Source organism: Homo sapiens, chromosome 1 (assembly GCF_000001405.40).
Source record: "Homo sapiens chromosome 1, GRCh38.p14 Primary Assembly".
In the NCBI taxonomy this organism is placed as follows: domain Eukaryota; kingdom Metazoa; phylum Chordata; class Mammalia; order Primates; family Hominidae; genus Homo; species Homo sapiens.
The window spans coordinates 64,237,612-64,250,732 of record NC_000001.11 but is presented as its reverse complement, the minus strand read 5'-3'; the positions used below and the strand labels follow the sequence as shown (position 1 = coordinate 64,250,732).

Genomic DNA, 13,121 nt, shown 5'->3' with positions numbered 1-13,121 from the left:
GGCTGCATAGTATTCCATGGTGTATATGTGCCACATTTTCTTAATCCAGTCTATCATTGTTGGACATTTGGCTTGGTTCCAAGTCTTGGCTATTGTGAATAGTGCCACACTAAACATATGTGTGCATGTGTCTTTATAGCAGCATGATTTATAATCCTTTGGGTATATACCCGGTAATGGGATGGCTGGGCCAAATGGTATTTCCAGTTCTTGATTTGTAGTTTTCGTATACTGTCTTTGGTTTTGTTATTGAGGTAATGCTGACCCTGTAACGTGCTGGGAAGTGTTTCCTTCTTTTTTCTGAGTTTGTGTATATTCATGTTTTCCTTAAATGTGTGGGAAAATTCTCCAGTGAAGCCATCTGGGTTTAAAGTTGTCTTTGTGTGAAGGCTTTTAACTATAAATTCCTTTATTAGATACAGGATTACTCAGGTTGTTCATTTCTTTTTAAGTGAGGCTTGGTAGATGTTGCCTTTCAAGAAATGTGTTCATTTCAACTATGTGGTTGGATTTATTGGTCAAAAAACGTTTTTATTTTACCTTCATTTTAGAGAGAGCTTTTCACTGGTTATAAAATTCTATGTTTAATAATTTCTTTCAAGCACTCTGAAGTTGTCATTTATTATATTTTGACTTGCAAGGCTTCTGACATGAAGTTTTTGGCTATTCTTATCGTTGCTCCTTTATGTGTAACATGTGGGGTTTCTTTTTCTCCTTTGCTACTTTTAAGATTTTTCTCTTCATTTCTGAGTTTCAACAATTTGATTATGATGTGCTTTGGTATGGCTTCTTTATATTTCTGTTTCTTGGGATTCATTGAACTTCTTGGTCTGTGAATTTGCAGACTTCATCAAATTGGGAAAATTTTCAGTCATAATTATTTCTTCAAATATTTTTTCTCTCCCTTCCTCTGGAACACCATTTATATGTATCTTCTACCACTTGATATTGTCCCACAGCTCACTGAGGCTCTTTCGTTTCTTTTCAGTCTTTTTTTCTATCTTTTTTTAAAGAGATTATATTGCTACACTTTCAAGTTCATGGGTCATTTCTTCTGCAGTGTCTAACTTGCTGTTCTTCCCATTAAGTATATATATTTTTAAATATTTGATTTATTTTTATCTCTAGATATTCCACTGGTATATCTTCCATTTCTTTCATCATATTCATGTTTTTCTTTAGATAATTCAGTATATTTTATAAGATGTATAGTAGCTGCTTTAAAGTCTGTATCTGTTAATTCTATCCTCTCTATCACTTATGGATCTATTTGTATTGATGTAATTTCTTTTGGTTGTGGGTCATATTTTTCTGCTTATTTGTATGACTGGTGATTTTTTTTTTTTTTTTTTTTTGAGACAGAGTCTCACTCTGTCACCCAGGCTGGAGTGCAATGGCATGATCTCGGCTCACTGCAACCTCCGCCTCCCAGGTTCAAGCGATTCTCCTGCTTCAGCCTCCTGAGTAGCTAGGATTACAGGTGCCCACCACTGCGCCTGGCTAATTTTTTGTATTTTTAATAGAGACAGGGTTTTGCCATGTTGGCCAGGCTGGTTTCAAACTCCTGACCTCAGGTGATCTGTCCGCCTTGTCCTCCCAAAGTGCTGGGATAACTAACAGGCGTGAGCCACCGCGCCTGGCTGACTGGTGATTTTTCAATGGGTTGCTGGACATTGTAAATTTTAGGTTATTAGGTGCTAAATTTTGTTATGTTTCTTTAAATCTGATTGTTCTTCATTCTGGCTCACAGTTCAGTTTTTTGTGAAAATCAGTTTGATACCTAATATGGCCCCACTATAAAGCACAGCTCTTCTAAATTTTAGTCAATGTCTGTTAAATTATAGTGTCTCTCCACTCTAGCTGGCAGGATTTCCAGCTCTTTGTGAGGCTTGTGTAAGTTTAAAAAAACCGTTAGGATTTTATTTTCCTCAGGGCAAATATGACTTTAGAAAACAACATAACTTGATTTATACCTTTTCTTCCCTATTGACAAATCTTTGTCTTCAAAAAATTGTATAAGCAGTATTTCCTTCTTTATTCAACCATTTGCCTTTATATAATTAAAATGACAAACTATAAAAACAAAAATTTTTAATGTCACTAAAATATGCAAATCAAATGACTGTGAAGTAAAATGTCATAATATTAAGTAAAAAAAAAAAACAAGTAAAATGAAAAACCCTAATGCTTGTTCATTTTTAAGTTTCTCACATAGATTGGGGCACCACAAATTGTAACATGTTCTTGAAAAGGAGCTTTACATGTATAATAAGAAGAATAAAACTTACTGTATCCTTCCATTAGTAATTTGACTTTTGGTAACATTTTCTAAAGGAACTTTTTTGCTTCCTTCTCATTCCTGCCTTCTTCTGATAAAATGCAATCTCATATGACTCTGGGGAATATAGCCCTTCCCGCCTCAACCCTGCTCAGACAGAGAACCTGAGCAGGACCTAAGCCAACCCATGTATCGTATTTCTCTGGTCACAGGGAGGGGGACTGAGGGGAGAGAAAGAGGGACAGGAGAGGGAGCAAGGCCGTAGAGGGAGAGCGAACCCATTAAAATGTGGGAGCAGAACACCAAAGAAGGAGTTCTCCTAGGAAAAAAAATCATATGTATTTGTGACTCATATTAAAACTGTCTTAGTTCGTTTAGTGTTGCTACAAATACCTGGGAGTGGGTAATTTATAAGGAAAACAGGTTTATTTAGCTCACAATTCTGCTGGCTGGAAGACTGGGCATCTGGTGAAAGCTGTTTCCACTCATGGCAGAGGTAAAGGGGAGCCGGTGTGTGCAGAGGTCACAGGCGAGAGAGGAGGCAAGAGAGGGAGGGGAAATGTCAAGCTAATTTTTTTTTTTTTTTTTTTGTGAGACAGGTCTTGCTCTGTCACCCAGGCTGGAGTGCAGTGGCACAACCATGGTTCACTGCAGCCTCGACCTACTGGGCTCAAATGTTCCTCTCACCTCAGCCTCCCACTTAGCTAGGACCACAGGCATGTGCCATTATGCCTGGCTAAGTTTTTAATTTTTTGTAGAGATGAGGTCTCACTATATTGCTCAGGCTGGTCTCAAATACTGGCTTCAAGCATTCTTCTTGCCTTGGCCTCCCAAAGTGCTGGGATTACAGGCTTGAGCCTCCATTCCCAGCTGCCAAGCTCTTTTTAACAACTAGCACTCCCGGGAACTAATGGAGAACTTACTTATCCGCCATACTCCTCCACCCTCCTTCCCTGCCCAAGGGAAGGCATTAGTCTCTTCATAAGGGATCTGCCCCCATGACCCAAACACCTCCTATTTTCCAACACTGGGATCAAATATCAACATAAGATTTGGGGAACATCTAAACTAGCACCATATATGTTTGTGACTCATATTAAAATTCCGCTTTTTCAGGAGAGAGGAAGGGAGAAGCCCTAAGCCATGGTGTTTATAGTAGGGGTGGTTCCACTGGATTTTGTGCTACAACCAGAAATCCATGGTAACTTTTTGAGGCTACATTGGAGAGAGAAATTGATGGAATGAATTATATCCATAAGAGGGAACCAATAAAGAATACTGAATTCATAAAAATCAGCTGAAAGAACGGAGTGTGTTTATTCTAAAAAAGAGATGTAAGAGGAGGTAGGAGAAAGACATAACTATCTTCTGAGACTTCAAGGGCAATTTCACAAAGCAGAAATGGCCTTATTTGTGTTGTTTCCAAAGACAAGTGGCAATAGTTTCTTTTCTGCCCTAATAGCCTCCTTTGAATCCTGCCTTCCACCAATCCCCAAGGCCATCCCCAGGTCCTCAGTGTCTGACATGGTGCCTGCTTGATTTAAGGAAAAAAGCGTGGCTTGTGGTATCTGGCAGGCCTGCATTTGAATTTCAGCTTTGTTACTAAGTATATAACCTTAGGGAATTTTCTTTAACCTTTTCTGCACATCTTCTTTATGAAATGGAGCTAATTTCCCATTTCTGGAATGGTTGACTATCAAAAGGTGTTAGATACAAGCTAGAACTGAAGAAGATTAGAGCTATTTAATGCTTCTTGAATTACCAAGCTTCCTATCTCTAAAAACATCCAAGCAGAGACTAAATAGTTGCTTGGCAAAAGTCATTTTTTCCTAAAGGATTTTCCTCCCTTTGTTTATAATTTTTCCCACGTGTGTATTTAAAAATACAGGCAGTGTCCATTCTAATGCTAATTCACTTGTTAACCACAAGATGGCAGTCAAGGTTTAATTTTAGGGAATAAAGCTAGCACTCCTTAAAAAATGCATTAAATACATAATTAAGTAAACTTATAAAAAACATGTTTAAATTCAATAACCCTGAAAGGACAACACGAACATATATTAAAAGAATCTACTCAGCATGAACGTTTTCCATATAAAGGGGATCAAACATAGGTATACCAAAAGAAAGATTACTTATCTTTTGTGAGTTAAAACATGCTCACAAAATCAGACACCAAAGAAATGTAGAAAAAATATGTATTAGTCTCTTAATTTAAAAGACAGGACAACTAAGTCCAGAGTGGGATTTACAGATATAAGAAAGTTTTTTTATTGGTATTTGATATTGCACAGATGTTCTTTTTTTACATATAAGAAAAAAAAGAACTAACATTGTTTAATAATAGAATTTAATATTGAGAAAAAACACAACTTTTTCACAAAATGTACACTTGATTGTGCTTGCGATTGGATAGGCAATATTTTTACACTTACCTGAACAATTTAAACTTTTATTAAGTACATATTAGTAGGCAAGAAAGAAACAGTTTAGTTTTAATTTGCAAATAAAATTTATGTTTATCAGTAACCTCAGGAAAACTCGCTAATCTCTGTGCCTCCATTTCTCTCACTGGTAAACTAGAGATAATATCCATCTCCACCTTTACGGAATGTCTGGGGCGTCAGGGGTTGGGGGATGGGTCTTAGGAGCGGTTATCCATTGAAAAGGAGGTTAGGAATCAGGTCTTGGGCTGTCAACAAGGCAAGCAAAGTGGTCTGACTTGGAGTACAGGTTGATTTGTTGTGGCTTTGAAGGAGGCTGATGGGTATTATTGTGGGTTACACTTACACGTGTGACTGTCAACTCCACAGGATGGCCAACATGAATTAGGAAATGAAGGGAGAACGCCGGGCATACAGGAAGTACTCAGCCATGTTAGTTCCGGTTCCCTCTATACCTACTCGGTATAAACAAGAAGCAATATTCTTTTCTAAAGCTACACCGAATGTAAACCACCACCAGGACTGATAAGTTTTATTTAGACAACTTGCTAGCTGCCAAAGCTTAGAATACTGATAAAGATTTTTCTGTTGTCACAGAAGCAATCATTAGCTAGAGTATGGCACAAACATAGTTTTATATGTGCACAACCAAGAACACTCGAAAGAACAGCTTTCATTGCTTTCTGATTTTATATCTTTTACTATTTCTCTGGAGAACTTAAATACAAACTACTGATTAGATTACAGATTCGTATCCTTTAACGGAAAGAAAGCACTTTCATGAATACAAAAGACACTCAAGCCAATAGGAAAGAAAAAAGGCTTTAGAAAGGAACACCAAACCAAATAATTGATTAATGAATATTTATGAGCTGCTTATAATGACAATGTTTCTATTAATAGTAACAAAGACTTGCCAAATTAGAGATTTTGCATAAAATATTCATGAAAGCCATTTACATTTCCAGTTTTCAATCACTGTTTCCAACTACACCTTAGAACTCCCAAAATAGAATCCTAAATCTTTACATTAGAATGAACCTTAAAAGTTTGCAACTCAATTTTATTTTTCTAAAATGAACTTTCTTCACATTTAATCCTAATACTAATTGAGAAAACAGGGTGAGGATGCGTTTTTCAACTAACATTAATTGAGTGCCTACTATTTGCCAGGCACCATGCTAGGTACAGAGAATGCAAAGGGACACAAACATCCCTGCCCTGGTCCCTCTTCATGAACAGATGAATTTCCACATCACACATGCTGAAAGACATGGGAACAGAGAATATGGAGAGAGAGGATGGGGTAACTGTGAATGCCTGAGCTTGTCAGTGACTGTCTCTACAAAAAGACATTTGGGCCAGCTCTTCACAACATCTTTGTGAAGCACTTCACCAGGCAGAAGAAATGATGGAGGTGGAGTAGAGAAGGAAAAGGAACCAGAGGCATATAGGAACTACAATAAATGTAGTTATGATAGGTGTTGTTTTCTAACCTGAGAAAAGACAAATTTTACATGTTTCCAACAGATTGTTTTTATTCTCTGAAAAGTAGGGTGGCATGAACTTTCATCTCCTCCTCTCCCCAGGAACTAAAATTTATTGAATGCCTATGTGTGATGCTATATTAATTTTTATTTTATATATGTAACAGATATATAATATACACATTTTTATATAATTTTTATTTATATCTCGAATGAAATCATATATATAAAATAATAAGCGTCAAATGCAAAACAACTTTGCAAGATAGGTAAGGTTATCTCCATTTAACAGATAAAAAAACAAGTTCAGAGTGGTTAAGAATTTCTCCAACATCTGTTTGACTCTGAAGCTCATGCTCTTCCCCTATGCTGCTTCCAAAGAAAGATTTTTCATCTGCAAATTGAATGAGGGCCACAGTAAAGTTTTAAAAGCATGAATAATAGCGAACTTTATGAGTGCTTGCCATGCACCAGATACTGTTTGAAGCATTTTACATATATTAATTTATTTAATCCTCACACCTTCCCTGGGAGGTAGGTACACTTATTACTGCCACTTAACAGATAAATCTGAGGCACAAAAAAAATCAGTGACCTTGCTCAAGGTCACAGAGCTGGTAATTGGCAGAGCCAGAATTCAAATCCAGACAGTCTGGCTCCAGTGCCCCTGCGCTTAAGAGCTCCACATTCCACTTTTTAACTGACAAAATCCTAGCTCTACACCAGCAGCAAAGACCTTGCTGATCCGAGGCAGAAGGTACAACGTGGTAAGGAGGTCTTAGGTCCCCAAATAATAGTGAGAAAAAAGAATTCAGTGTGGCTTAAGAATAAGGTATTGATTGATGAGGGGAGGGAAGGAAGTAGCAGGAGAGACAGGTTTCTCTTTTTCTTCAATGCTATGCAAATACAGGGTTCTCAATTTACATTTCCTGTTTTTTTGAAACAGGAAATTTCAGCGTAAGGAAAGCATTTTCGAATATTAAAAACTGAGAGATGCTTAATATGGCATGCACAATATAGACCAATTACTCATGTGCATAGATCCCCAAACATTTTCTACTTGATTCTCTATGAATTGTCCTCTTTATCATACCCCATGTATTTTGATGAACACAAGACTTTTGATAATTATTTGAAGAGAAGTTGAATTTTGCCATTCTTTAGATTTTTTAGATTTTACTATACCTCTAACATTTGCATAGTCAATATTTATGCCACAATAAAATGCAGATAAATATAATATCTTTTTAAAACTGCATTTAAATAGTGGAGTTTTTGACTAATCAACACCAGCGTTTTGAAGCAGCAAATATCACTTGATCTAAATATATTCTCATCAACCACCAGATGGCATAAGGTGTGAGGGTTTTATTCTGACAGGGTCACTATGCACATGATAATTTGACCTGTAACTTTGAAATAATGTATTTGGAAAAATGTTCCAGCACTCAAACAGCTCACAATTATTTTAGCCATATGTAGAAGTGGATGGATAAATTGAAAATGACACGGTTCTACTTTTTCTAAATTTTTGGGTTCTGCAGGATGTTGGCATTACATAATGAATCGATGATCAAACAAATAAAACAGTTCTGTTAAAGGAAATAAAAAAGGAAGTCACGTCAAAGAAAAATTAACCTTATATTCTAAGTAGGTTTCTTCAACTCTAAAAGAAACTTAAAACATGCCTTCAGGAAAAAAACATGCTTATACTCCTTCAAATTTTGCTGGATAAAAAACTTTCTACTTCCTGTAATTTATCCTGAAAGCAGAAAAGTATATCAAATGCAAAAGCTTTTCTCTACTTTAGCTTGAAAGAAAGTTGTTACAGAATCAACAGAAGAAAGAAAATCCAACTGAAAAACTCAGTCTGAACTATATGATGTTAAAGGATAGGGAATTACATTTTAATATACTCAATTTAAAAAAATATATTCAATTCCTCAGTTGCTTCAGAAATTCAAAATACAGCACGTTATCTTTATTCATCGTGTATTTCCATCTAGAAAAGAGGGCACTTGGTTAACAGTAAACTGAAGAGCTAAAAATTGAGATAAATGAGATAAACACAAAAAATAGGATCTTTAATTCCCCTACCTTTATGGTCACACACTCAGAGTACCTTGGAATGAGCACACCAGAAAAAATGACTAGCACAACACAGCCAATACCACAGAACTGAAATGGCATCTTTGTTGTAACATGATGAAGCAGAAAAACTGCCTTCAGGGGTCAAAAGACCAAAGATGAGATTAAGGTTCCTTCCTTAATGTGGTCTAAGAGTCAATGATTTCTAAAGATATAATAATTTATGTTTGTATTTTACTATATCCTTCTTCATTAGATTTAATATATTTGGTCTTGAATGAGAAATCTGTGGGAGAAGAAACAATGTTTGGAGCTACAAAAAGGATGAAAAGCTAATTGATGATATATAGTTTTTTGCTTTTCTTTTTTTTAAAAAAAAAGCTATTTCTAAGTCACATGTTGATAAGGATGATGGAAATGAGAGTAAGAGAAATAATGGGAAGGATATTACGAGATTTCTTCACTGCAGATCATGTCCTATCTCCATCTTTGGCAGCAAATATGTAGCAAAGATATTTCCTACCTGGGTTCATATGAAAGCAAGAAATGATCATTTCTTTTATTCTTGTTCTTATACTGAGAAAAGGGTATAAGTTGTTATTTCCAAGGGTTTCTTCTGTTATTTCCAAGTTGGATAGTAGAAAGTGGAATAATAGACAATTCAAGTTAATGTACACATTCAAGGCACTTCATATTTCTTACTTTAAATTCCATTCTTTCTGATGCTGTAGATCCATTTTCTTCCATTTGTAATACTGTCCAATGAAATTTGGAACTTTGAGCACTGAAATTAGAATATTAAAAAAAGAAGCTATACATACATTCTTTAATAATAGTTAATAGTTAAAAGTTAAAAATCATTCACTTCTCATTAACTTGATATGTGGCAATAACATGCACTATATAATTCAAGTCATATTACAATCCTTAGAAACTTTCCAAATTACTTGCTTTTATTGGAACATCATAATATTAGATATTGTTTGAAATAGATTATGACTTGGAAGTTATTTTCATTATAATGAAAAACATTATATATCCTTTATCATGTTAAATAAAATTTATAGGAGACCATTGTTTTGGACTGAGCACCTACCTTAGGCATTAACAGACCAAACAAAATGGAGTTACTCATGCTAAGTGTCATGCAATAAAACTGAAACTTTAAGGAAGCAGGACAATCTTAAGCAGATCAGTTTTTTCAAAAGAAGAGATTCACAGCCACCAGTCAGAAGGGGCCCAGTCAACTTGAAGTGGCATGATAAGGAAGTCCCTGTGCTTTAACCCTTACAAGGAAAGTAACTGAAGTGCCTTATGTTAACCAATCCAATTTTTGTATTATTCTGTTTTCTTATTCCTGCTCTAGTTACCTTATAAAAACTAACTGTTCTGCTATGCTCAGTAGATCACTTATCTGTTTTTAAGATGAGATGCTGCCTGATTCATGAATCACTAATGCAAGCCAATTAGATCTTTAAATTTATTGAAATATAGCCTGGCCAATGTGGTGAAACCCCATCTCCACTAAAAATACAAAAATTAGCCAGGCGTGGTGGGACACACCCGTAATCCCAGCTACTCAGTAGTCAGAGGTTGCAGTGAGCTGAGATTGCGCCACTGCACTCCAGCCTGTGTGACAGAGTGAGACCCTGTCTCAAAAATAAATAAATAAAAATTTAAAAAGAGAAATTTTGTTTTGAGCAACAATAATGAAGAAAGTATTAAAATAACTCATATAAAACCAAGACATCATAGTTTAACAAAATTCTAATTCAGCACTTCAAGTAGAAAATTAGAATTTTGAAGTTGGAAATGACATTAAAGACCTTGCTTGATCCTTCACAAAGCAAGAATCTCCAACAGATGATCATCCAGGTTCTGAATGAATTACTTGCAAACTACAGAAAACACACCACTTTGTAGTTGGGAGACTGCCCATTCCATTGGCAGATAAGGGTTACAATGTCCTTCCTTAATCTGACTGCTGTGAGTTTCCACTGGTCTTAGTTCTAACCTCTGGAGCAATACTAAGTTCATCCCTCTCCCACAAGAGAGAGCCCTCTAATAGCTCACAGGGAAGCCTCAGTTCTTTTAACTTGTTCTTAGGATATGATTTTCTAGAAACTTAACCATCCTTAATGCCCTGGTGATAAACTCTTTTGATGTTCCTATTAAAGTTAGTGTCCCAAACTGGATCAGGACCTTGAATTGGTTTGAAGCAAAGATGCAAATGGGCTTACTACCTCCCTTGCTCTGTGGACTATCAATTCAGCTCAGACCTGCATTAGTATTTTCTGGAACTCATATTACATCACCACTGGCTCTTAAGTTTGTGGTTAATTACAAGCCTATACCTTCAATCAAATTCATATAAGATTTATTAAAAACCTACTATGATTAACAACAGGTGCTGGAGAGGATGTGGAGAAATAGGAACACTTTTACACTGTTGGTGGGACTGTAAACTAGTTCAACCATTGTGGAAAACAGTGTGGTGATTCCTCAAGGGTCTAGAACTAGAAATACCACTTGACCCAGCCATCCCATTACTGGGTGTATACCCCAAAGGATTATAAATCATGCTGCTATAAAGACACATGCACACGTATGTTTACTGTGGCACTATTCACAATAGCCAAGACTTGGAACCAACCCAAATGTCCACCAATGATAGACTGGATTAAGAAAATGTGACACATATACACCATGGAATACTATGCAGCCATAAAAAATGATGAGTTCATGTACTTTGTAGGGACACGGATGAAGCTGGAAACCATCATTCTCAGCAAACTATCACAAGGACAGAAAACCAAACACCGCATGTTCTCACTTACAGGTGGGAATTGAACAATGAGAACACTTGGACACAGGAAGGGGAACATCACACACCAAGGCCTGTCGTGGGGTGGGGGGAGGGGGGAGGGATAGCATTAGGAGATATACCTAATGTAAATGATAAGTTAATGGGTGCAGCACACCAACAGGCAAATGTATGCATATGTAACAAACCTGCACGTTGTGCACATCTACCCTAGAACTTAAAGTATAATAATAATTAAAAAAAACCCTACTATGTTTAAGGCACTGGTAATTTTTACATGAAATATTATTAAGCCAGATCATATGCTCATATATACTTTATCTATTTTCCTATTTCTTATTATTGTTCTGAGCTTAGCTTACAGTCGAACTATTTAACCAGCTAGATGCTCTCCACCAGTCTTGTCCTTGTCTGGGGCTTTCTTCTTCTTCTTCTTCTTCTTCTTCTTCTTCTTTCTTCTTCTTCTTCTTCTTCTTCTTCTTCTTCTTCTTCTTCTTCTTCTTCTTCTTCTTCTTCTTCCTCTTCCTCTTCCTCTTCCTCTTCCTCTTCTTCTTCTTCTTCTTCTTTTTGAGATGGGGGTCTCACTTTGTCACCCAGGCTGGAGTGCAGTGGCATGATCATCGCTCACTGCCACCTCCAGTTCCTGAGCTCAAGGGATCTTCCCACTCAAGCCTCCCAAGTAGCTGGGACTATAGGCACATGCCACCATGCCTGGCTAATTTTTAACTTTTTCGTAGAGATGGGGTCTCCCTATTTTGCCCAGGGTGATCTCAAATTCCTGGGCTCAAGAAATCCTCCTGCTTTGGCCTCCCAAAGTGTTGGGATTACAGATGTGAACCACTGTGCCCAGCCTGGCGCTTTCTTCTTAATAATGATGAACTTACCCCTTTTAGCTTGATGACATTTGCCATTGATAGAAAAAAAAATTTTTAACTGAATAGTTTCCTTTTTTACATGATTTTCACCAGTAATATTTTTGTCTGTTCCTTAATTTTCTTGCTTCAAACACATGTAAGCACACATACATACATATTCTTACAGACGTTATTAATACTTTTTATTGGTATTTGGATATATGCTCCTCCCTTCCATTAAAGAAGTAAATCTTAGCTCCCCAGAGTTCTTGTGAGGTCTCATTATTTCCTTTAGATGATTATAATAATTAACATTAGCAGATTTTTCTTTTTTATCTTTTCTTTTTTTTTTTTTTAAGATAGTCTCACTCTGTCACCCAGGCTGGAGTGCAGTGGTGCAATCTTGGCTCACTGCAACCTCCATCTTCCAGGTTCAAGTGATTCTCATGCCTCAGCCAGTGAGCAGCTGGAATTATAGGCATGCGCCACCATGCCGGGCTAATTTTTGTATTTTTAGTAGAGATGGGGTTTCGCCATGTTGGCCAGGCTGGTCTCAAACTCCTGGCCTCAACTGATCCACCTGTCTTGGCCTCCCAAAGTGCTGGGATTACAAGTGTAAGCCCGCTGTGTCCAGCCAGAATTTTTATTATATGCTAGGCACATGTAAAATAGATATGGTTACCATTAGAATACCCACTGTACAGATGGTCAAACAGACATAGAGAGGTTGAGTAATGTCTTCTCATTGGGACTCTTCATTACTCTTAGCCAAAATTTAAAATTTAATCTCTCACGAATGCTATTTCCTTTTGAGGTTTCTATTTAAGGATAATTCATATCTTTTCTTAAACTTTTTGAAATTGCCTTTCCTCATTTTATATTTGAATATGTATGGCTGTCTCTTCCTTATATATTATGAAACCCCAAATGACACGGTCATCTTTCCTGAATAGTCCTATTAGTTTTATATCATTGACTCATTTTCTTCATTGCTTTCTCCATCATCTGAGAGATGAAAATGCCACAGTACTTTGTACAAATTTTAACACATCTCATATTTTATCCCCATGGTTTTTTTTCACTCATCTGTCTCTTACCACTTGTCTGTAAACTCCTTGAAGAGCTTAGCACAATGTGTCTTCTTAT

The 13,121-nt window shown here is 36.5% G+C and overlaps 1 protein-coding gene across 14 annotated transcripts in view; it reads right to left on the bottom strand.

Annotated features, from left to right (window-relative positions):
- UBE2U (ubiquitin conjugating enzyme E2 U) overlaps positions 1 to 13,121 on the bottom strand; it is a 63,746-nt gene that overhangs the window by 16,636 nt on the left and 33,989 nt on the right. For 11 of the 14 annotated variants that reach the window (NR_158769.2, NM_001366232.2, NM_001366234.2 and 8 more), the window contains one exon: positions 9,000 to 9,081. Coding sequence is in view for 12 of the 14 variants with exons in the window: in NM_001366232.2 (NP_001353161.1) it covers positions 9,000 to 9,081 (82 nt within the window). In the remaining 2 variants the exon portion in view is untranslated. Of the gene's footprint in view, positions 1 to 4,458; positions 6,604 to 8,999; positions 9,082 to 13,121 lie in introns of those variants that run through there. The other 3 variants (NR_158768.1, NM_152489.3, NM_001366235.1) reach the window with 1 other exon arrangement.